This window comes from Homo sapiens, chromosome 12 (assembly GCF_000001405.40).
Source record: "Homo sapiens chromosome 12, GRCh38.p14 Primary Assembly".
NCBI lineage: Eukaryota > Metazoa > Chordata > Mammalia > Primates > Hominidae > Homo > Homo sapiens.
In genome coordinates, this window is record NC_000012.12 from 6047138 (window position 1) to 6071234 (window position 24097).

Sequence of the window (24097 nt, forward strand, 5' to 3'; positions counted from 1 at the left end):
TCATGTGCCCCCACTGCCTGGCCTTTCAATATCGGCCTTCCCCAGGCTCTGTCCTAGGCTCGCTCCTCTTCTCACACTCTGCTGCCATCCCCAGTTCCAATCACAGACATGACTCATAAATCTACATCAGCAGCTCGGACCGCTCCTTTGAACCCCAGACCCATATACTCAAACGCCTACATGGTCTCACTAATGTAGTGAGTCTCAAACACACCTCAAACTCAGTATATTCAAAACTAAACTCATGATCCCCCGACCAAAGCCAATTCTCCTCCAGGGCTGATTCACTGAATGGTGACGCCATCCATCTGGCTTCGCAACCAGAAACCCAAGATCATCCCTGCCACTGTCTTCTCCCTCATCCTCTGTATCTGATTCATCATCAAGCCCTTGGACTTGGCCTCCAACATACCACTGAAATTCATATCCACTTTATCTCCACTGTCATGAGACAAGACACTATGACCTCTTGCCTGGACTATGTAAAAGTCTCCTAACTGACTGCATATTTTTATAAAACGTCTGTGGTTGCTTTGTATGTATGTTTAGTTTGTATAAATGATATCACATAGCATGCTGTGTTTTGCTTTTCCCATCGAGCACCGTGTTTGTAAGATTCATCCCTGTGAAGACACGGACCACTTGTCTGTGACTTCTGTTGCACAATACACCTTTTACCCACTCAGTGTCCCAGTGATTGACATAGGTTGTCACCTGCTCCTTACCACCACAAACAAAGCTGTGCTGAACATCTGCAGACATGTGTCCTAATGAATGTGTATAAGGATTTTAGTCTATCTGCACAGAGGCAGAAGGGCGGGGATAGCAGGTGTGAATACCTGACCTGCACATGATGTGCCAAGTACTCTCCTAGATGACTCAACCAGTCTATGCCTTACAAAAGCAGATGAGGCCCCCATGCCCCTCAGCTCTGCATTATCCAGATGTCTAATTTTTCCAGTCTAGTATGAAGTCATACTCATTGCTTTAATTTGCATTTCTCAGACTGTAATAATTTTATTCAGTTTTGTTTTGCTTTGTTTTGTTTGGAGACCAAGTCTCACTCTGTCACCAGGCTGGAGTGCAGTGGTTCGATCTCGGCTCACTGCAACCTCCTACTCCCTGGTTCAAGCGATTCTCCTGCCTCAGCCTCCCGAGTAGCTGGGATTACAGGCATGTGCCACCACACCCAGCTAATTTTTGTATTTTTAGTAGAGACGGGGTTTCCCCATGTTGGCCAGGATGATCTCGATCTCCTGACCTTGTGATCTACCCGCCTCAGCCTCCTACAGTGCTGGGATTACAGGCGTGAGCCAACGTGCCCTGCCTGTTTTTGTTTTTTTGAGACAGAGTCTTACTCTGTCGCCCAGGCTGGAGTGCAGCGGCATGATCTCAGCTCACTGCAACCTCCACTTCCCGGGTTCAAGCAATTCTCCGGCCTCAGCCTCCAGAGTAGCTGGGATTACAGGCACACATCACCATGCCCAGCTAATTTTTGTATGTTTAGTGGAGACAGGGTTTCACCATGTTGACCAGGCTGGTCTCAAACTCCTGACCTCAAGTGATCCGCCCACCTCGGCCTCCCAAAGTGCTGGGATTACAGGCGTGAGCCACCTTGCCCAGCTGACTGTAATGATTTTGAACATTTTTAATGCAGCTGCTGTTCAATAAATATCTGTTGAATAAACAAGAGAATCAGCCCTTCCCTTTCTGAGCACGTGCAGAACCCGTGCCTTCTTCTGGTTTTTAACTAATACCTAGTTTTAAGGGAGAAAATTCCACCCGCCCCCGTAAATGTCATGTTCAATCTGTCATTTGGACATGACCCAAAAGCTTAATTTTCTAAAAAGCCTCAAAGATAGGTTTAAAATCAACTCCTGGCCCTGAGCCTGGTCTGCAGAAGAAGAAATACTCCATTGTGATGGCCGCTGGGATGACCAAGCACGCGGTCTGCAGAACCTCCAGGCCACAGCATTTCACCCTCCTGCCACCTTTTCACGACCACCACTAGCACCTGCTCCAGCGAGGCTCATTCTCCAGTGTGTTGTCTAAAGAATAAAAATAAACAGCGGCACACAGGCCCCGAGGTCCTTCCAACACACCTTCTCCGTGAAACCCAATTTTCTAAATGAAGTGGAAAGACAAGCTGCTGAATAGCTTTCAGCCCTGGTGCCTAAAAGAGAGACAAGGAGGACGCAGACATGGAGAGGTCGCTGATGTCAAACCCTAAAAAGAGCCCAAAGCCAGGGTCACTCCCCAACCCTGTTCACCCAGGGGCCAAGGCGCACCTTCTCCCACCTTCTCTGTTTTAGTGAAATAGCCAGCAACAGTTGCTGCCCTCCCAAGTCATACCAACTTCCTATAGTCTAGCCTCTATCCTTACCACTGAAACACAGAGGCCACCATGACCTTCTGATCCCCAAATTCAACCGTCTATTCTCACTGTAATAAGGAGAGTTCAAGAATCCCTGGGCTCTAGTCACTTGCTGGCTGATTTAGGAAAGTGATAGTCTCTCTAAGCCTCAAATTCTTTACTAAAAAAGCAAGTCATGCCTGCCCAACAGTGTTGTTTTAAGGTCCCAGAGAGAAACTCCTGGCAAACTATAGCCAGACAACTGTAGTAAAACAGCACTGGGCTAAGGCCAAGTCAGCAGTCCTGCAGAGGAGGTCCTTACTCCCTTCTGCCCTTCATTTCCATGATATGGCACTGCTCTGGTTCTGCCCTTTTTACTGGCCTTTGACCTTTGGCCTCTCTCATGCAATCCTCTTTTTCTTCCTCTTGCCCTCTGAACATTCCCCCAAGTTCTGACTCAGTCCTCTTTTCTGCCCTCTGGCCCACTCCCCTTAGGGATCCTCGCTACTCTCATGGCTGAAACTGTCACCTCCATGTACGTCTTTCTCTCCACCCCAACCTCTCACTCACCTTCCAGACCCATTTCAAGCTGTTGATTCCATTTGTTCACCAAGATGGTAACTCAAAGTCATTAAGGCCAAAACCAAAGCCATCACTTGCCCTCTACCTCCAGAGGGCCCTCTTGCTGTTCTTGCGTCACTGTCCTCACAGGCATTCAAGTTCAGAACTCCAGGGCCATCTGCAACAGCCCCTCCTCCTCTCAAACATCCCACTAGTCCATCTGCTTTCCCAGCGTCTCTGGCTTCTGGCTTCCACTCTCCATTTCTACTGCTATCGCTTGATCCAAGGCCTCGCTACCTTCTTATCGGTCAACGTCAACATTTTCCTGCAGATGCTCTCCCTGCCATCATACCTCATGCAGCTCCCAAAACCCACCCCCTGAAGTTACTCTTGGATCCTATTTGCTCCCTGCTAAGAACCTTCCAGGGGCCCCATTCCTACTGCTCCAGCATCAGTGCTCACCCCCTCACTTCTGAAGACCCCTGAACCTCATCCCAACTTCCCTCCAGTCTTAGTCTTCCTTCATATAGCATGCGTTCATGCCAGAGGACTTACCTTGGGGATTGTGGAGTACACCTTGTGCGTTTAGTCCCTAGACTTCTGCTCCACCTCAAAACAATCCTCCAGGCTGGGCGTGGTGGCTCATGCCTATAATCCCAGCACTCTGGGAGGCCGAGGCGGGCAGATCATTTGAGGTCAGGAGTTCGAGACCAGCCTGACATGGCGAAACCCCGTCTCTACTAAAATACAAAAATTAGCGGGGCGTGGTGGCAGGTGCCTGTAATCCCAGCTACTCGGGAGGATGAGGCAAGAGAATCGCTTGAACCCCAGAGGTGGAGGTTGCAGCGAGCCGAGATTGTGCCACTGCACTCCAGCCTGGGCAACAAGAGCAAAATTCAGTCTCAAAAAAAAAAAAAAGAAGTGAACATGGATTGAATGTTAGACGTTATTAAGGAATTATTGTTCATGTTCAGGTTAATAATGGTACCTTTACTTTTTTAATCGTTTATTTATTGAAATACATACTGAAGTGTTTGCAGGTGAAATGATGTAATATTTACAGCTTTTTTAAAAAACTATTCCAGCCACACAGCAGAGGAGTCAATAGACAAAATAAGAATGGTAAAGTGCTGATAATCATTGAAGCTGGGAATGGATACGTTGGGGCTCCTTATACTATTCTCTCTACTTTAATGTCTGTCTGAAATTTTCCATAATCAGGACTTCTTTTTTTCTTTTTTTTTTTTTTTTTTTTTTTGAGATAGAGTCTCGCTCTGTCACCCAGGCTGGAGTGCAGTGGCAAGATCTCAGCTCACTGCAACCTCCGCCTCCTGGGTTCAAGCAATTCTCCTGCCTCAGCCTCCCAAATAGCTGGGACTACAGGCACCCGCTACCACACCCAGCTAATTTTTTGTATTTTCACCGTGTTAGCCAGGATGGTCTCGATCTACTGACCTCGTGATCCGCCCACCTCGGCCTCCCTAAGTGTTGGGATTACAGGCGTGAGCCACTGTGCCTGGCCAATCAGGATGTTTCTAACTGGTCTTCCCTAGTAGACTATCAGGTACTGTGTCTGGTGACTGGATTTCCCTCTGTCGCCCGGGCTAGAATGCAGTGGCGCGATCACAGTTCACTGCAGCCTTGGCTTCCTGGGCTCAAGCAATCTTCCCACCTCAGTATTTCAAGTGGCTGGGTCTACAGGTATGCACCACCATGGCCAACTATTTTTTTTTCTTTGTATTTAGGGACAGGGCCTCACTATGTTGCCCAGGCTGCTCTCAAACTCCCAGGCTCAAGCATTCCTCCCACTTCCACCTCCCAAAGTGCTGGGGATTACAGATGTGAGCCACTGCCCCAGCCTGGCTCATCTTTAGACCACCAATTCTTAGCCAGAACTAAGACAGAACAGGTGACAGGTAAGTGTTTGCTCAACAAATGTCCTGTTGTAAATTTCTTCCACGCTCATGGCAACCCTGTTGAAACCGACTGTCACAGAAGGCCTAGGCAAAGAGCTGCAGGAAGCAAGCATGATTTGGAGCTATTTTGGGGAAGTGCATGAAGCAGGTCAGGGTAGCAATGCCCCATGGAGGCAGCGCTGCAGTGGTCCATGTTCTTCCTGCTCAAATGCTTCAGCTTGAGAATACTGAAAGCAGGCTGGAAAGGAGGGTGACAGGCAGATCTCCCTTTTCCTGTTCCAGAAAAGGAAAACTGAGACCTAAAGCCCAGAAATGGGGGCCAACACATAACAGTTGGCAATAAAACTCAAGAACTCCTACTGCCAGCCAGGAATCCCAGTTCCCTGTGTAGTAAGGAAGTCAGAAGACCTGGACCAAATCCCAGCTCCGCTTCTGACTTGCTGTACAGTTCTGGACAAGTCACTTCCTTCCTTGGGCCCCAGTTTACCCATCCATGAAGTAAAGGACTTGGGGGTCCCGTTTTCCTCCCCAGCTCTGCTGTTTTAGAGGTCCCTGACACTGCTGCCTGCACTTACCACATGGTGTGATGGTCTGAGAAGATGTCTTCTGGCTGGAAGATCTCACCGTCATAGTAACAGGGGCACTGGGCCTTGGGCACGCAGTCCCCCCTCTCATCCATGTAGAGCCCTGGGGGGCAGAAGCAGCCCTCCAGGCAGGCCTCATTGCATTCCTCATCCGGGTAAGAGAGAGAGCGGCAGGTCAGGTTGCAGGGGGTCCCGCACTGCAGGTACACCTGGCCTTTCGGGCAGTTCAGCTCTAGAAGAGAGAGGAGAAGTAAGGCCTCAGCGGGAATGTTGGACAGCAAGGACTGTGGTTCTAGGACTTGCCACCCCTTGTAGCTGTGACCCCCAATTATTTAATTAAAATTTTTATTGAGATAATTGTAGACTTGCTTGCAATTACAAGAAGTAATGCAGAAAGATCCCATGTACCCTTTACCCAGTTTTCCCCAAGTGACCCCCAATTATATCTGTATGGTCATCAACTTCCTTTCCCACTATGAGCAAATGTGTATTTTTCAGCATGCAGATATGTATTATAATTATGGGGGCACACATTTTCTCCTTTCCTCAACCACAGGGAATGTGCATTAGTCATCTCTGAATTCTCAAAGCCTAGGATGTAGTAGAAATCCTGGCAGGTTTTGAAGCTGTGAATATTAAAAAGTACTGGGAATGACGGGCAAGGGCATACCCCGTGACAACAATGAGTACCATTTATGGAGCACCTACTGAATGCCTTGCTCTTACGTGGGCTCTATGCCTCATGCCGAGTTAGCTCTCATCACCCCCTTTCAAGAAACTTAGGCTGAGTGACTTGTTAGGGGTATACCTCACAGGAAGAAGCAGAGGAAGGATTTGAACTCAGCTCTCTGCAGCCCTAAAGCTCATGCTCATAACCCTTACTCTCTAGAAAGAAAACAGTCCCTTTGAGGACATGCTGGTCCCAAAGAGGAGGGACACTCATGCCTACCACAGCGAAATGGGCTGCACCCATCTGCCCACAGCCCTCACCCTCCCTAGCCTCCCACAGAAAAATACTGCAAGAGACACAAGCCAGAAGGAAGTGTAGCAAAGTGGCAACGCAGCTAAGGGAACGGGCTCTGTATCCCAAATACCTGGGTTCACGCCCAGGTCCACCACTAGCTGGCTGTGTGATCTTGGGCAGTATCCTCACTGGATGGAATAACAGTATCCACCCAGTCTTTGTGAAGGTTGAATGAGCTAACACATTTAGAAGAATGTCTGGCATGTGGAGAATGTTCACTGCTAATAATGTTCACTGATAATAATTATTATTCTTATTGCTAAGGAAACAGCCCCAGCTCAGCGGTCCCAAGAAGGAAGGAGTGTTCCAGAGAAAGGCCTAGGCCTCAGAAGCTCTGGCATTCTGGTGACAAAATTCCTTATGGGCAGGGTAGAGGACAGGGAAGGTGTGGGGAGCATTCTGCCCTTTCAAAATGCCTTCCCTGTGCAGACCAGCTGCTGCCCAAGAAATGAGAACCTCACCCTGGGCATGCTTCTTCTGAGACCATCACAATCCTTCCCCTCTCTGTTCAAATCCATTGCTCCAGCAGAAACCTACTGGCAGGGCATTTCACAGATGTTATAAAAGTAAGCCTTGGCCGTGAGCCTGAACAATGGAGTGGGGAGCCTCTGGAGAGACCCTGCAGCCTCCCGCTCCTACAACCACCCTGAACTTGGTGTTTGAAGGTAGCTGGGAAGGGAGGGCCTCTTTAATCCTATTAGACATTGATTTTTCTCTGCAAGAATGGAAAGGTTGGATTATTGGATGAATACTGAGGGAGTGTAGGTTAAGACAGGATGTGTTAGACAATAAAGATGGAGATGTCTTTCAACCACCTGAGCCTACAATGACAAGGGCACATTTTACCCATTAAAAAGCAGCTAGACTTGAGAACTTTCTTTGTTCTGATAGGCTATCTCTAGGGCTGGCTTGGAGCCTTATTAAATTTCTCCTTTAGCCTTCTTCCCCAAAGAAACAATGCACATCTCAGTTTAGCAGACACTTCTTGTGTATCCACTGCATGCCAGGGGCTATGCTAGGCCCAGGGAGGCAGAGATGGCCAGCCCTGGTCCTTGCCTTCAGAAAGCCTGTGGTCCTGTCTTCCCAAAGGGAGCACAACCAATTTGCAAGAGGAAAAAAAATGTGTGTGCTTCTCATCAATCTCCTCACACCATCCCACAAAGTAGCTACATGGTAAGTCTGTGCTCCCTGAGTGTCTCCAATTGATGTGACCTCTTCTTACGAATAGATTCACTGGTTTAGGGAGCTCTGTTCATTTCTCTGGAAGAGAAAGTGGAAGTGGGTAGAGGGGACAGCTGAGCCTGAGCTCTTCTCCAAGTCAAGAAAAGATTGGGGCAAGAACCCAGGAGACTTACCCAACTGCCTTGGGTACAAAGGGACAGCCCAAGGCCATCTGGTCAGCCCAGTCTCTTGTCACATAAACCCACAGAGACAGACCCCTCTTGTCCTTAACAGTCTCCAGGGAAAGCTCCTTCCTACCACCCTTTCTACCCTATCGTAATGCCTCAGGAGTCAAGACATTCTTTAACTGAATCTTATCCCCACTACTGAAGCATCAGCCCATTTCCCCTGTTCTGTTCAGTGGAGGTTAAGAATGGCTGTTCATGACAGATTAAAGAATATTTCAGTGGGCCCTTAGCATTCCAGGAGAATGTCCTAAATTAAGAAATCCTGCGGATGCTGCCACATACTGATAATGCATCATTTCTAACACTGGTGGACAAGCAAAGAATATTCACAAGCAGCATCTCATTCACTCCTCATTACTTTCCCCAATTTCTAAATAGCAAATGCTAAGGAAGAAACTGAAGTGCAAAGGGGTTACGTGAAGGGTTCAAGGTCCCATAACTGGTACCTCACGGGAAAGTTGCCAGTAAGGACCCAGACCCAGTTGTCCCAGCCCCTAGCCTGTGGCTCCCCAAGACATCCCAGAGCTGGAGGAATGGGGAGGGCACAACGGCTGCATTATGTGCTCGTCCCTTTCGTCCTTACTGTTGTCTCTGCTCCTCTTTCATATGACATTTCTACAACTCAAAACATGAGTTGGCTCATTGGACCCAAAATAGTAGCACTTCTAGGGTCCCCATGCCTACACTGCTCCTGAAATATAGATGCTAATTCCTTTCACTGTTTCTCATAACTCCTCTTCCAACAGGACCATCTACTTTATATATATATATATGTATACACACACACACACACACACACACACACACACACACAGGGTCTTTCTCTGTTGGCCAGGTCAGAGTGCAGTGGTGCGATCATAACTCACTGCAGCCTTAAATTCCTAGACTCAAGCAATCCTCTTGCCTCAACCTCCCAAGTAGCTGGGACTACACCTACATTTTAATTTCTAAACACATCTACTTTACCCTAAAAAACAGAATATCCACTATGCCTTATTCTTAACAGAATATACTCGTCACTTCTATGCCTACTATGATTCTACCATTGGAAACAAGTCTTCTCTGCCAAGAAAGCAGCTTTTTAAAACCCTAGCCAAGTACACGTCCTCCAGAAAGCCTTCCTTGGTTTTCCCTGCCCTGAATCTACTCATCCTTTCACTTAGTAGGATAGGTATCTAGTAGGGCGGCCATTTCCATCTGTGACTCTAACAGTAAGTTTGGAGTTCCACATCATCACTGTTGCCCGACCACACTGGGCATGCAGCAAATGTCCCCAGAGCAATAACAAAAACAAAAAAGTGAGCACAATAGATACCACCTCTGGTGCCAGGAATCCAACAGTGCAGAGTGAGAATCTAAAGCCAACTGGGGACAGTGATGTAATTCACCTTTAGGTAACTTTATACAACGCCAGAGGTTTTGTCCATCGGTGGTTTGCCTGGAGTTACAAGCAAAGGGTTTGTATGTGAATTTCCCTTGCCTTCATCGGACTCTTAAGGGAGGCGGAGACCCAGTGGGATCTGGGACCCATTCGCTCCACAGCCTGACCTTCTGTGCTGAACGAACACTAGGTGGCAGCGGCCACGGGAAACCCAAGCTTTGCAGGGACCCCCACGTTCTAGGCCTCCAGGTAGGAGGAGCCAACCTGTCTTCCTGGAACAGGCCCGAATCATCAGCCGGTCCCCACCGCCTGTCCTGCTGGGAGGTGGAAGGGAAAAGTGGGTGCAAATGAACCGTCCTCCCCACCCGTGTTTGTCACAATGCCCTACGCCCTCTTTCCACAGGAAACAACGCAGAGAAAGGGCTTCGAAAAGCACACGTGGACGGATTTGGGGGGCGGCCCGGAGGGCTGCGGGCAGGGAGGGCACGCACCACAGCGGCCTGGCTCGCGCCACGCGACGCGCACGCCTCTCCCCGCGCAGGCCGCGGCATAGCTGGCCAGGGCGCCGCACAGGCACTCGCGGCCGTCCGAGCAGGAGCACACGTCGTAGCGGCAGTTCCGCAGGTAGGGCAGCGGGCTGACGGCACGATGGCAGGCCTCGAATGTGGGGGACGTCAGGACCGCGCACGCCTCCTCGGAGAACCTGGCTGTGGGGCGAGAGGAGCGAGCCTGGGATGTGGTGGGGAGGAGTGGGGGCCACGCCCTCCCGGTCAACACTCCCCTGGAAATAGCCCAGTGCTGCTAATAGAGGGCTGCAAGGTCACGCAGAGAAATCTGCAAATGCCACCCCCACCCCCAAGTCCATTTATCTTACAATCATCTAACGCTGAGTTTGTAAGCTGCTGCTGCAGTAGACTGGGAAGGTCGAAGGACGGGGACTATGGAATTTTTTTTTTTTTTTTTTGGAGAGACACGGTCTTGCTCTGTCGCCCGGGCTGGAGTGCAGAAATGCGATCTTGGCTCACTGCGGCCTTGCCTTCCTGGGTTCATGCAACCGTCCCACGTAGCTCCCAAGTAGTTGGGATTACAGGCGCGCCCCACCACGCCCGGCAAATTTATTATTATTATTATTATTATTATTATTATTATTATTATTATTATTTTAATAGAAATGGGGGCTCCCTACGTTGCCCAGACTGGTCTCGAACTCCTGCCCTCAAGCGATCCTCCCGCCTCGGTAGACTTTTTTTTTTTTTTTCTTTCCCGGGGGTTGGCCTGTGGCGGGCGCCCAATAAAGGGACTTTGAAGAGCAAATGGCCCAGTTCAGATGATCAAGTGCTGACGGTAAAAACAAAGCCCGACCCCTTTCCTCGCTCCCCGCCCCCGCCCTCCGCGGTGGGAGCACTGCCTCCGGAACGCACTGCACTAATGTGGAGACCTCGAGATTCTGCGAGGTCCCTGCCTTGCCCCCGGGTTCACATACTCATGCGCGGGTTGAGGGCGCAGGGATCGCTGTGCTGCTTCTGCAGGTCCTGGCAGTCCCCGTGCAGCTTCCAGGCGTTCCCGAAGTCCTCCACCCGGGGCTCCGCCAGCCCAGAGGGGGTAAGGAAGTCGTCGCCCTGGTTGCCATTGTAATTCCCACACAGGCCGCAGGTCTTCCCGGCATAGACGGGGGACAGCTGCAGGAGAGACCAGGCCACTCTGGAGCCGCTGCCGCGAAAGCAGCGGCATAGTTGTTTAGCTAATGAGATGGTTTTAATAAAAAAAAAAAAGTTCCCCGGGTGAAACATAAATATGAATGTAATAAAAGGCAGCTAAGCCCTAGGCTGCAAAAGGGGGGGCGGGGGAAAGTGAACTGCAGTGTAAATTTACCAGCTCCATCCCTGTTCCCAAATCATCAGAGCCCTGTACTGCCACAAGAGATTTTAGAAATTATCAGATCATCTAAGGATGGAGAAGGGAGGCCCAAAGAGGCAAAGTGACTTGCCTAAGGTCAGGGAGGTAGTGGCGGAGCTAGGGTGAGTAGGCAGGTTGAGCCCAGCCCGAAGCACTCTGCCCTCTGTGCCATCCACACCAGTGGGCCTGACCCCCCCACCCAGAGTTACGTGCAAACTCAAGGCCCCTCTATATAGAAAGACTTCGCGTTGGTCACTCGGTGTGGGCCCAGCAGGCTGCCAGGTGTGGTCCAAGCCCTCCGGGAGCTCACGGTTAATGACAAGAAACACCTCCCCACAACCTGCTGCCTGCCACTCAGGCCCTGGGCATCACTGAAGAGAAAGGGCCACGAGCCACAGAAGACTCTGAGGGTGATGATGGATAGGAGTAGGAGTCTGCAGAGGCTCTGAGGCAGCCTGCCAGGGTGACAGCAGCAAAGCAGCGGCACAGTTCAAACTCCAGGCCATGAGCATGTGGTTTACTGTCCATTCTCAGAACTGAACAAAGTTCTGAGCCCAAAGTGCACATTCGGGAACAACCAGCAGAGTGGAGCCCGCCCTTCCCCCACACAGCTGGGGGCATCTGCTGGTTTCTACGGAGAGGACCCCGATTTGAAGGTGGAGCGGGGGCTGGGACCCAGGAGTCCTGACTCCCTCTCCGCATGTCATTACCAAGGTGGGATGACCTCCCTGCGTTCTGAATCCCTCAGGGGCTAGGGTCAGCTCTTAGAGCCCCTTTTCAGCTTCCAGCTCCAACCTAACAAAATGCAGGGTTAACAATCCAGTAGAAGGTCCCAGGCCCATAGAAATCGAACCCAAGTAAACACTGTTAAGAAAGGGGACAGAGTAATGTTTCCTTGTTTGCTTGACAAATACCAAATGTTGTCACATTAGGCCTTCTCCCACCTCCTTATTTAAAATTTAAATCCCCCCAATCCTGGCACATCCTGCCCCTTTCTCTGCTTTATTTCCCCCAGGATCTATCACTTTCCGATCTATAATATAATTTACTTGTTTGCTTTGTTTATTGTCTGTCTCTCTCCATTAGAACTTAAGCTAAATGAGGCAAGGATTTTTGTCTGTTTTGTCTCACTGCTGTAATCTCAGCATCCAGAATGGTGCCTGTCTTAGCCCTTCCAGGCTGCTATAACAAAATACCACAGACTGCGTGGCTTATAGACAACTGATATTGATTGCCCACAGTTCTGGAATCTGGGAAGTCCAAGATGAAGGCATCAGCAGATTTGGTGTCTGGTGAGGACCCTGCTTTCCGGTTCATAGATGGTGCCTTCTAGCTGTGTCCTCACATGGTGGAAGGGGCTAGCAAGCTCTCTGAGGTCTTTTAAAAGGGCACAAATCTCATTCTTCATCATCTCCCAAAGGCCCCACCTCGTAACACCATCACCTTGGGGGTTAGGATTTCAACATATAAATTTGGGGAGGACACAGACATTCAGTCCACAGCAGTGCCAGCAGACACTCAGTAAGTGTTTGTTGAATGAATGAATCGTTGAACAAATGAATGAATAAGTAAGTGAATGACTAGGTTCTCCTCCTGATGTGCTGGAATGCAATGCCCGCAGTCAGGGCACCCTGGGCAAGGCGGCATAACTGGTGGTGCACCTCCACTCCCTTCCCGCCTCTCAGCATCTTTTCTCTCTCCTTTCTCAGAGTTTGATGCTCCCCAAAGGCGTTTTCATTCACCCCCACCAAGCCAGCCATCACTCCCATGTCCCACTCTAAAACCAGGTCTTCTCCCATCCCCTTGGCTTGTCTCGGAGGTCAGCTCGGCCAGGGTTAGGAGAGTGGGGGCGACACTTAGAGACTCTCTTAGTGTCACTTAGCGACACTCACTATTTGAAATAAACCTCTGGTCAGTGACAGTTCTGACTAAATGAAGCCTGTGCAAGGATCTTTTCCACACTGCTATGCCTAAGGCAGAGCTGGGCCCTGCAGGGCAGCCAGCAGGGCAGGGAAGCAGCACACAGAGGATGTGATTTCTGCTGGCTGGAGCCTTGCTGCCTGGACCGCCAGCCCCACGGGGACAAAGCGTACATAACACACCCAGGGGAAGGAGACCGGGGGGCCCCTAGCTGCACCTCCTCTTGCACCGCCTCTGCCCCAGCTGGCCTCCCTCCAGCTCTCGCCTCCACACTTCCATCCCCAAAAGCCCTGGTGTCAGTATTCTGAGGCTCCCCACCTCCTGCCCCAACTCAAACACCCCCTTTCCTGCTTCATAATAAAACCCACAAGATAGTCCCTTTCCATGAGCCCCAGGAATCTGTGTAAAGAAAAAGAAAAAAGAAAAATATATATAAAAAGACAGTTCTATAGGCCATGGGGTCATCTGACCCTGTCCTGAACCTTGGCCAAGGAAACGTCTTCTTGTTAGCTAAACTGACACAAACCCACCCCAAAGATAACCCTACATCCCCTCCCACAGAAAGAAGTTGGCTTCTCTTCTCCTCAGGGGAGAGACAAAGACCAAAGAAACCTGAGGGGAGGAAGGGCAGCTGCCCAGGATGAGAAGTTACGGCCCTGCTGATCAAGGGGAGAAAGTGCATGGGTGGAGAGCACCCTCTCTGTGAGGTGGGAAGATGCTGAGAAAGTGGACTGGCTGGCCGGGCGTGGTGGCTCATGCCCGTAATCCCAGCACTTTGGGAGGCTGAGGAGGGTGGATCATTTGAGGTCAGGAGTTCAAGACCAGCCTGGCCAACATGGTGAAACCCCATCTCTATTAAAAATACAAAAATTAGCTGGGCATGATGGTGGGCACCTGTAATCTCAGCTACTCGGGAGGTTGAGGCAGGAGAATCGCTTCAGCCTGGAAGGCGGAGGTTGTGGTGAGCCAAGATCGTGCCACTGCCCTCCAGCCTGGGCAACAGAGTGAGACCCTCTCTCAAAAAACAAAACAAACAAAAAGAAAGTGAACTGGCTAACGTGAAGCACCCCCTTGAAGACCGGGGTGCAGGAGGCAAGACTGGTCAGGAACCAGGAGACCCGAGTTCTGGTCCTTGCCCGGTAACTAAACGACCATGAGGCCTAGGGCAAGTTACTCCTGCTCCAGAAATAATGGCTCTTTATTTCCTACTGGAAAAGGGAGGTTGACAAGAGGATCTCCCAGACCTTCCTGCTTTATGGTCTGTGGTTGCAGGTTTATTTTCATAAAAGGAAAAAAAAAAAAAAAAAGGAGTTAGTTTGAAATTCCCTCAGGAGCTCTAAGACAGGAGAAAGAACATAGCCACACGAGGATGGAGGACGCCAGGATCTCCTGGGTGAAACCTGCCACCCTGCCCCTGCCACCCAGGATTATAGCAAGGACCCTGTGGAATACAGGACCCCAGGAGGCAGGAGGAGGCTCTCCAGGGATCCCAGGCATAATCTAGCGCAGTGGTTCTCAAAGTGTGGTCTTGAGACCCATAGGGGTCCCTGAGACTTTCAAGGGGTCTGCGAGACCAAAACTACTTTCATAATACTATGAAGACGCTATTTGCCTTTTCCCTCCTCATTCTCTTACAAGTATAGAGTGGAATTTTCCAGAGGCCACATGACATGCAATATTGCAAAAGATTGAATGCAGCAGTAGATATGAGAACCCAGCTGTCTCCTATTAAGCCAGCCATTAAAGAAATTTGCAGAAATGTGCAGCAGTGGTATTATTCTTGTTGCTTATTTTTGTTCTGGCAAACAGTTACTTTTCCCCAAAACAGTGATGTTTATATTAATGTGTAGTGGGTTTATTATTATAATTTTTGAATGAGTTAATAAATACATATTTTAAATGTCTCTAATTTAATTTTCAATCTGATAAATACCAATAAATATAATCCTCCTACAAGATCTTGAGGTCCTCAATAATTTTTAAGAGTGTAAAGGCATTCAAGACCAAAAAGCGAGAACCACTTTTTGTTCTGATGGGAAAGGCATGAGGCAGAGAACTAATCCTCGCTCTGCCATGACACGGTTGGTGGGGGTCAGAGTGGGATCAGTCCTCTGATCAGAGGAGTCTATCCTAGCCCTGGAAGTTCTGGAGTGCTGCACCATCCCTCCACTTCCTGTGCCCTGGTTGCCTCATTTATAAAATGGCAGTAATATTTGCACTGTCCACCTGCCAGGGTCATTTCCAGAGAAACAGTGAAAAGTATGGATTGCTATCCAGTGTGATTCCAGGACCACCAAGAACAAGAGGAAGTGGCCCACACATGCAGAGTCCCAGTGTCCAGGGGAAGAATCTGGTGGTTTCCTGAGCAACCTTTCCCGGGCAGGCTTTCTCTTAGCTGAGAGTGCCAATCTGGCTCTTCCCTTACTGCCCACAGTGGGCACCCAGGGAGACACCCCTGCTCCCGGGCCTTGTTTCAGCCGGGAGATTGGACAGCAAACCTGCTCCTTCCCCAGCCCCACAAGAGCCCACCCCAGTCTAGAGGCCCTTGGGATAGCAGAGCCCAGCAGGAAGAATCCCCAGGGCCAAGAAGGGGCATCCAGAAAACAAACACCAGCCTCATAAACAAGAGAGGCCTGTTTCTCGCTCTGGGGGTGTAGGCCATGAGGAGAAAGGAATTCTTCTCCCACCACACAAAGCCATTCTACCCAGAGCACAAGGGGTACTTTGTAAGGGTCGGGCCGCAGGGAGCCAGTACCCCGTGAGGGCACCTACCTTCACCAGCAGCCTCCCGCGGCCATCCCAGTCCATCTGCAGGTCCTCCCCGTAGCTGAGGCGCACGGAGGCCGTCACTGTATGCTGGATGCGGAGGTCACCTGGAACCCAGCAGGACAGGACTCAGGCAGAGGTGGGGAGAGGACAGGGTGGTGGCAGGCAGATGTATTTGGGAGGAAATGGGGTGTCTCAAAAGGATGGTAGCACTGAAGAGCAATGACTTAGGGGCAGATGGGGTGGCCATGAGGTTTAAGGGGGTGTCAGGAGGAAGGGTGATCAAGGTGGACAGAGCGCAAATAGGGTCCCCCAGGAAGAAGCCTCTGCACCCCCCGCTATGACCTGCCATTCCCCCTACTGCCACAGGAGGGAGGCAGAGGCTCCTGCATCCTGGGCTGTAGGCAGGTGCCCTGGAGCAGAGGGGGATCTCTTTAGCATTGACACCACGACATCTGAATGTGCCTGGGACACTCTGCCACTGCACACCACCTCATGTCTGAGCGATGCTGTGTACGACACTGAATACAGCAATTGTTGCTTCTGTGGGAAGGTGGCGACAGATAGGAGCACACCCCTTGCCCTGGGGGAACAAACATATCTTATAAGGAGACACACAGCATAACACCCATGGACGTGCTGGGTACCCACTAGCCCAAGTTCATCCGCTGTGTGCAATGCTAGGATAATGGGCGACAAAGTGGCCAGCAGTTGTGGAGAAGAAGGAAGAGTCTGAGAGCCACTTTGAGTGTGAAGTTTGGGAGCTTTACCATGCAAAAGCAGGTTTGCTTTGACCGGCACAGTGCAACCCAGGTGAAGATACTGGACAGGTAGGTTTTTTGCTACCTCTAGACAGGCCAGAGGGTCACCTGGCCTCGCCCCAAGTGGCATCCTCTGGTGTGACATCACCAGCCACCCCCGATCTCTCAGCATCAGCCTCTGCCCCTGTCCCACCCCAGAGCAAACCAGAACCACCTGCCCAAGACTCAACTCGCCCCTTTGGTTCAAGCCAAATAAAAATCCTCTCGGTTCCCTTTTCCCATCTACACTCTGTCCCAGGTCTAGAGCAACCTCTTCATCTATAGGCTTCCTTCTCTAGTCTTCCTCCTCCAGGAAGCCTTCCTTTCTTGGAGGGATGCATGCCAAGCACCCCACCCTGCCCTCCAAAAATAACTCTCCATCACATTCCCATGGAAGAGGCATGCAGGTCCTTAAGGACAGTGGCCAGGGTTGAGAAGGAGGGTGCTAAGGGATGGGCTGTGCCAGCCCCAGGCCTGATGGAGCAGGACGAAGCATACCTTTCAGGAGGGGGAGCTGGACGTCCTGGCCATCCATGGCAACTCCTGCCCCATGCTTCAGTTTCACAAGGCTGTTGTGCAGGCCAGGCAGCCGGACGGTGACGGAGCGGGTGCACACAGCGTCGCGGTCATCAGCACACTGCCAAGAGGGAACACAGGGTGACTTTGCTGCACCCCCTGCCTATCCAGCTCCCCAGCCCAGGACCCTCTTAATCAGAGAAAGGCCTCAACCCGAGAGCCTCTGGCCTTCTCATAACCTACAACTCCATTCTCCCAGAATACTCCATGTGAATGGGGCCCCCTAGAGTTGTGCAGCAAGAAGGCTTGCTAAGTGCATCCTTGCACACGCCTTCTCCCAGCCTGGCCCAGTCTCTTATAAAGAACCATGGGCCTCTGCTTCATCGTGTTCCTTGGACCTACTGTTCCAAAGAGAATCAAAGACTTTGATCCTCAAGGAAAGCCCTGTGCATTCTCTTCGTCCTCATCTTTGCTTCCATCCCTACAGAAAGGAAGCCACACATGTACCACAGAGTTCAGAAGAGAAGACCAGCCCTCTTTGCCCCCACCCCAGCCATCCCCAGCTCCAAACATCAGAGGGTTAGTTATGGGGGCAACAGGCTAGACCCAAGCAGGATGCGTCCACTGGGTGGGGAGCTGAGCCAGCCCTGAGGAGGCATTATTGTCAGGGCAGGATGCCTTCCGCCAGCATCTAGGGAGAGAGGGGATGGGCTGGGTTTCTGGATGAATGAGGAGCTAACTGAAGTCTGGAAGAGACCTCCCTCATGCACAGAAAGCAATGCCCCACGCCTTCCAGGGACTGCCCATTCAGCCTAGCAGCTATGCAGCACCTTGGGCTACCACCCGACCAGCAGCCGGGCTGGCAAAGCTCACCTGGACAGTCTCAATGACAATGGAGAAGGAGTGGTCCTGGCAATCCCGGGCCAGCAGGTACTGGCAGATCCCACTGAAGGTGAAGTATCTGTTGTCAAAGCTCTTGAAGTGTGATTGACCTGTGACAAGGCACTCCCCTGGAGAGACACAGAGGAAGGGAGAAGAATGGGAGGTGAGGGCACTTCCCCTGGGGTGGCCAAGGTGGAATGCATATGCAAGCAGGGTGCCCTTCCCCAAAACTGCATGGACGTCCTTTGCCCAAACCAGTCTAAAAACAAGTTCTACGAGAAAATTCGGTTCCTGCTCCTAAAACTGCAAGATGTCAGAGCTGGGTCATTCAGGTCAAGGCCTCATTTTACAGATGGGGCAACTAAGGAAGGTGACAGAGCCACACTCAGTCAGTGGTGGAACCACGCAGGAACCCACGCTCCTGCTTCCAGGCTCCCTGCAGCCTCCCCTCCTCCCTCACAGCTCACTGCCATGTCCCACGCTACCTGCTGGCATCAGGGCCACACCAGCCTCAGACTGGTGCCAGCGGAATGCCTGGCCAGGGGGAGGCTGCCCAATAGCACAGGGTTCTCTGAACCTGAGTGTGGAGAGGCTCTGGGAAACAGTGTCACCCCTGGAGAGTCCCTGGAGGCCAGGGGGCAGAGTAGGCAGCCCAGAGGCAGGATGAGGTGGGAGGGTGAGGCAGGACAGTCTTGGAGCTCAGCAGTGAAAATGGGGACTCCATCCTCCTCACCAGCAGAGGGGCAACTCTAAGGCCATTGCTTTCTGCGTCCTCAGAGGGGCAAGCCCACGCTGTGACTCCAGCCAGGGCCAATGGGGAACCAGGAGGCCATCTGCCCATGATCTCACCACCACCCAGGCAGTGCTGACCTCGGCAGCGCCAGCTTCCCAGCCCAGGCTGACACATCTGTGGGTGGGGACTAGGACTCCCCTTCATCACCCTGCAACCCAAAGCCCTCAGCTTGTCCCCACCCTAATTCCCACACCATCTCCCCCACGCCCCAGCCTAGGCCCCATACTTGTGGCCCAATGCACCTCCAAACTGAGATCACACATCCTGGAAGGTGTCCTGGCAGGGGGAGGCCTCTGCCAATGTCTCCAGTGATTCTCCATCAACCTGCCTGGCTTGAGGCAATCCCATCTTCAGGGCCAAACATGGACCCATCAAAGCTGAAAAGGGCATCTGGATCCCTTCCCAACCTGCCCTATATATTTCCTCCACCTGCTCTCATCTTTGCTATCTACTCTACAGAAAAAGAAATATATATAGAGAGAGACACCATTGCCATTTGGTGAAGGAGGAAGACTTTTCCCACCCAGTCACTCTACGGTGCATGTGTGAGTTCCTTTCTCTAAGGATCAAAGCAAAGATGAGGACACATAGAGTGCACAGGGCTTCCCCTGAGACCCTCCAAACAGCGGAAGCTTGGCTGTCTACAGCGCTACCTCAGCCTCCACCTGAAGTTCCCCCTTTGGGGAACAGATGCTAGACCAACGTTGGAAAGACAAATGTAAGAGGGTCCTACAGACCATCCTATGTGGGCCCAGCTCCAGGGGCTAATGCTAGCCCTGTCACACAGCCAAGGGGTCCCCAAAAGGCACAGAGAGATTCTAGCTTGTCAAGGACAAGCTCCACAGGCCCTCACTGTCTGGCACTTCATGCTCGCATGTGCCCTGACAGGCCCAGCCAGGGGCCAGGCTAGACTGTGCAGTACTGGACCCAGGTGTGGGCCTGCCTTTGAGATGTGTATGAAGGCAGGATTAAGGATGAGGTGCCTCAGGGATGTACACATCCCTCTGCCTGGTCCCCAGGACAGTGGATCCCTTCCAGGACAGCATGGGTCAGGAGGGCACATCCAGCCCAGAGGAAATTAGGAGAAAGTGGAAAGGCCCCAGATCACTCCCATCAGCATGGCCCACCTTCTCCGCTGCCCCCTCTAGAAGAGCGGGAGTGAGGAGTGACTGTTCGTGGAGGACAGAGCAGGCCACAAGATAGGGGCCAGGATCGTCCCAGCCCATTCTGGATGTGCTGTAATTTCAAGTCCAGTGAGGTCTCAGGAAAGCCTTTTTGAACTGACCATTTTTCAGAAATTATCATCATTCTACAAACACAGTAATATGGTCATTTGTGTCAAATGTCTTGACCCCAGGGCAGTAAAAATGGGTGGGAATTCTTCCCCCTGCCTTTCTGTGTTTTCTCAGAGCACTCTTATCTAAGCAAGAAAATGGACTTCTGTCTTCTTTAACAATACCCAGGAAAAGAAGGGTCAACGAGAAATGTGCAAATATTCGAAAGGAAAACTTTCAGGGCCAGCATCTAATCGTCTCATCTGATTTCCTTCTCTGACCTTCACTGACTTGTGTTCCCAAGTTTCTCGCAAATCAGAAGTCTAAATATTATATGAGCTTATCTCCTCGGTACAACTGAGCAACAGAGCCACAAACACAGGAAAATGGGTGGGTGAGCTGCCAGGTAGCCGTTAGCCACGGGAGCTAGAACGTCAGCCAGAACTATGGGCCATGCGAACACGCTCACCCATCCTCCACCCAGGATGGGACACTAGGATATTCCCCATCAGTCAGCAACAGGCAGCTCCTGACGAACAGCGGGCCCACCACTAGATGGAGATGGGCACTGGAAGTTTGGGGAATGAATGAAAGGCAGGTGATTCCTAAAACTGCATTTAAAAAAAAAAGAGCATCCAGGCCGGGCCGTCATGGCTCATGCCTATAATCCCAGCACTTTGGGAGGCTGAGACAGGCGGAGCACCCAAGGTCAGGAGTTCGAGACCAGCCTGGCCAACATGGTGAAACCCCGTCTCTACTAAAAATACAAAAAATTAGCCGGGTGTGGTGGCAGGTGCCTGTAATCCCAGCTACTCGGGAGGCTGAGGCAGGAGAATTGCTTGAACCCAGGAGGCAGAGGTTGCAGTGAGCTGAGATCACGCCACTGCACCCCAGCCTGGGCGACTGAGTGAAACTCTGTCTCAAAAAAAAAAAAAAAAAAAAATCCAGAAGTTAAAGCAGATCCATTTCTATGTGAATAAAGATCCTGCCTCATGAAAAAAAACAAAACGGAACCTCTCACCTAATGGAAGCACATTACCTCTTCTAAACAAACCCTTTGGTTTGCAGTAGTGAGCCCTGGACGCGGCTGCCCTGCTCCAGACCATTTGTTTCCCCAGCCCCACAACCCTCTACCTCCCAAAGCCTTCCCTGCAGAAATGCCCAACCCACAGGCCTTTAGCAAAGCAACTCAGACTTCCACCAGATGCAAATTGTCACCAAAGCCTGCAACATAATCTCTACCAAATGTGCAAGATGCATTTCTTTTTTTTTTTCCTGAGACAGTCTCGCTCTGTTGCCCGGCGTGGAGTGCAGTGGCGCCATCTCGGCTCACTGAAGACTCTATCTCCGGGGCTCTCACAATTCTCCTGCCTCAGCTTCCCGAGTAGCTGAGATTACAGGCATGTGCCACCATGCCCAGCTAATTTCTGTGGGTTTTTTGTTTTTGTTTTTGTTTTTAGTATAGACAGGGTTTCACCATTGGCCAGGTTGGTCTCAAACTCCTGACCTCAAATGATCCACCTGCCTTGGCCTCCCAAAGTGCTGGGATTACAGGCATGAGCTGCCGCGCCTGGCCCAAGATGCATTTTTTTTTCTTTTTCTTCCTTTTTTTTTTTTTTTTGCGTGTGTGTGTGTGTGTGTGTGTGTGTGTGTGTATGTGTGTGTGATAGGATCTCTGTCACCCAGCAGGCTGGAGTGCAGTGATGCCATCACAGCTCACTGCAGCCTTAATCTCCCAGGCTCAAGCGATCCCCCCATCTCAGCCTCCCAAGTACCTGGGACTACAGGCACACACCACTATGCCTGGCTAATGTTTGTATTTTTTGTAGCCATGGGGTTTCACCATGTTGCCCAGGCTGGTCTCCAACCCCTGGGCTCAAGCGCTCTGCCCACTGAGCCTCCCAAAAAGCTGGGATTACAGGCGTGAGCCACCATGCCTGGCATAAGATACATTTCCAAGTGCTCCATGGAAACCATCTCATTGATTGCTCCTATGAAGTGCTCATTATTATCCCCAGTTTACAGATGAGGAAACTGAAGCATAGAGAAGTTCAACTCATCCAAGTTCCCAAAGAAACTGAACAGGGATCTGAATACGGGCAGGTCTGTCCAGCTGCAGAGCCCAGAGCCCTTGATGCCACCTAAAACTGCCTCCCGGGTTGGCTCCTACCATTTCTCACATGGCTGATGTCATTCTAATCCTCCTCCAGGGGCTGCAGAGAAGCTCCGGCCTGCTCCTCACTTTACAAGCAGAGCCAAGCATATCCCCTCCAGAACCATACCGCCTATTCTTCCCATCAGAAGCTCTATCTGCAGTCATCACACTGGGAGCATCAGACAGCCCCACTGCCTGCTGAGTCATGGCAGGGTGTGGAAATATGCTTGTGTGCGTGGGTGCAAATGGACCGGGAGGCGATGATCAACAAAACTCCCAAACTAGAAAAAGATGGTCAGAGCCAGGGCTTTGAGAATGCAGAGAAGAGCGTAGTGGTTTTGTTGGCAAAATATCAAACCACTTAGTAGACAGAATTGACACTGTTTATCTTTTCATCAAGACATCAAGAGAATGTCTTACATCCTCAGCAAAGTCATCTTCTAGATTTTGAATTGAAGACCAGAGGACTGTATTGTCTGCCCCAGAAAACAGTCCATCATGTACATAGTTGGTGTTCAAATAGTACTTGGATGAATGGACAGTTGGAAGGATGATGGACGGAAGATTCACCCTATAGTAAGTACTTGTTAAAACTTCCTAATCTGGTGGTTACAAACGTCTAAAAAAACACACACAATAAACTGAATTCCTAATTCCATCCACTGTGGCTCACAGATCTCATACAATGAGTGCTTATTATTTAAATGTTAAAAGTGTTTTCACAGGTTAATTGCAGCAACTCATATGTCTTCCAAAGAGCTCCTTTAGTCTTGGACATGGTGTAATTACGTTCAGTGGAGCACAGATATCCCTTTCAAGAGCAATCTTTTCTCCTTCGTGCCTTCTTTAAGGGTTACACAAAAGATAACCTGGCTGGGTGACCATCTCTTTGCAAGACTAACTGATCTAGCCCACATCTAGTTCCAGAATTTTCCCAGTGTAGAGGACACTGGATGAGGTCCTGAGTCATCCTAAAGTCTTTAACTCACAGACCCTAAATACAGTCCCAGGTATCCAAGCTCAACCCACTTCAGGCCACCAAAGGTTAGTACTGGGAAGGAGAAGAAAGGGAAGGGAAAAAGTAAGAAGTCAGGCAGTTGTGAGTTCAAGCCCTGGCTCTGCCTCGTAGCAGCTGTGTGACTTTGGGCAAGTCATTTAACCTCTCTAGGTCTGTTTCTGCTTTCCTAAAATGAGAATAAATTGCACCTGCCTCACAGGTTGTAACCGGAAAGTGTTTAGCACAGTGGCCAGCACATAGAAAACACCACGTGAGTGAGCACAGAGGGCAAGGTCTGAGGTCATTGGAAGGTGGGGCAGAAGGGAGCTTTGAATGGGCAAGGTTTGCAGTAAATAGAATAGAGTTGGGGCCAAACAGAGGAGAAAGCAAATGGCAGAGATTGCTCAATAATTTTTCCTAAGCAGATTTTCCAGGGCAGGGACAGGATGGGAGGAATCATTTGGTGACCTGGTTTTCCGAGCTCTTGGACCACGCCATGGTCTTCATATTAGGCATTCTGGAAAGTTCCATTAGAACTGTCCCTTCAAGCCTAAAGAATTACCAGGCCCTTCTACCTCTTAATTTTCCAAAGAATGTGTATCCTCTTTGTTTAGTCAATCATGACCATACAGGCCTTACAGCTCATCAACCTTAATCCTTTCAGCAAACAGGTAATAAGGACAGACAATAACATCTGAACGCAGGTGCATTCTCCGCTTTCAGCTGTTGCAGGGCTCCCACCTCTGGCCTGTGAATGGGTTAGCATAGCTGGTACCTGAAACCAGAGCTGGGGTCACGTGGTTGCAGCCAACCTGTGCAGAGAGGGCAACTTCTCGCTGCCTTGAGTTGTGGCCCTCCCTGTCTGGTAAG

General features: G+C 50.6%; 1 protein-coding gene across 2 annotated transcripts in view, besides 3 other annotated features; it reads right to left on the reverse strand.

Moving 5' to 3' along the window:
- VWF (von Willebrand factor) overlaps window positions 1-24097 on the reverse strand; it is a 175794-nt gene that overhangs the window by 98261 nt on the left and 53436 nt on the right. For both annotated transcript variants that reach the window (NM_000552.5, XM_047429501.1), the window contains exons 11-16: window positions 18000-18136; window positions 17109-17247; window positions 15817-15917; window positions 10712-10907; window positions 9720-9935; window positions 5406-5646 (exon numbers count right to left, since the gene is read on the reverse strand). In NM_000552.5, coding sequence (NP_000543.3) covers window positions 5406-5646; window positions 9720-9935; window positions 10712-10907; window positions 15817-15917; window positions 17109-17247; window positions 18000-18136 — 1030 coding nt within the window. The remainder of the gene's footprint in view (window positions 1-5405; window positions 5647-9719; window positions 9936-10711; window positions 10908-15816; window positions 15918-17108; window positions 17248-17999; window positions 18137-24097) is intronic.
- Window positions 10964-11471: an enhancer, noted in NCBI's record as "H3K4me1 hESC enhancer chr12:6167267-6167774 (GRCh37/hg19 assembly coordinates)". NCBI's record gives its function as "activates a minimal SCP1, AML or CMV promoter by ChIP-STARR-seq in naive H9 embryonic stem cells {active_cell/tissue: H9 hESC(naive)}" and the evidence as "EXISTENCE:reporter gene assay evidence [ECO:0000049][PMID:30033119]".
- Window positions 11472-11979: an enhancer, noted in NCBI's record as "H3K4me1 hESC enhancer chr12:6167775-6168282 (GRCh37/hg19 assembly coordinates)". NCBI's record gives its function as "activates a minimal SCP1, AML or CMV promoter by ChIP-STARR-seq in naive H9 embryonic stem cells {active_cell/tissue: H9 hESC(naive)}" and the evidence as "EXISTENCE:reporter gene assay evidence [ECO:0000049][PMID:30033119]".
- Window positions 23386-23680: an enhancer, noted in NCBI's record as "tiled region #3083; HepG2 Activating DNase matched - State 8:EnhW". NCBI's record gives its function as "activates a minimal TATA promoter and a strong SV40 promoter by Sharpr-MPRA in HepG2 cells {active_cell/tissue: HepG2}" and the evidence as "EXISTENCE:reporter gene assay evidence [ECO:0000049][PMID:27701403]".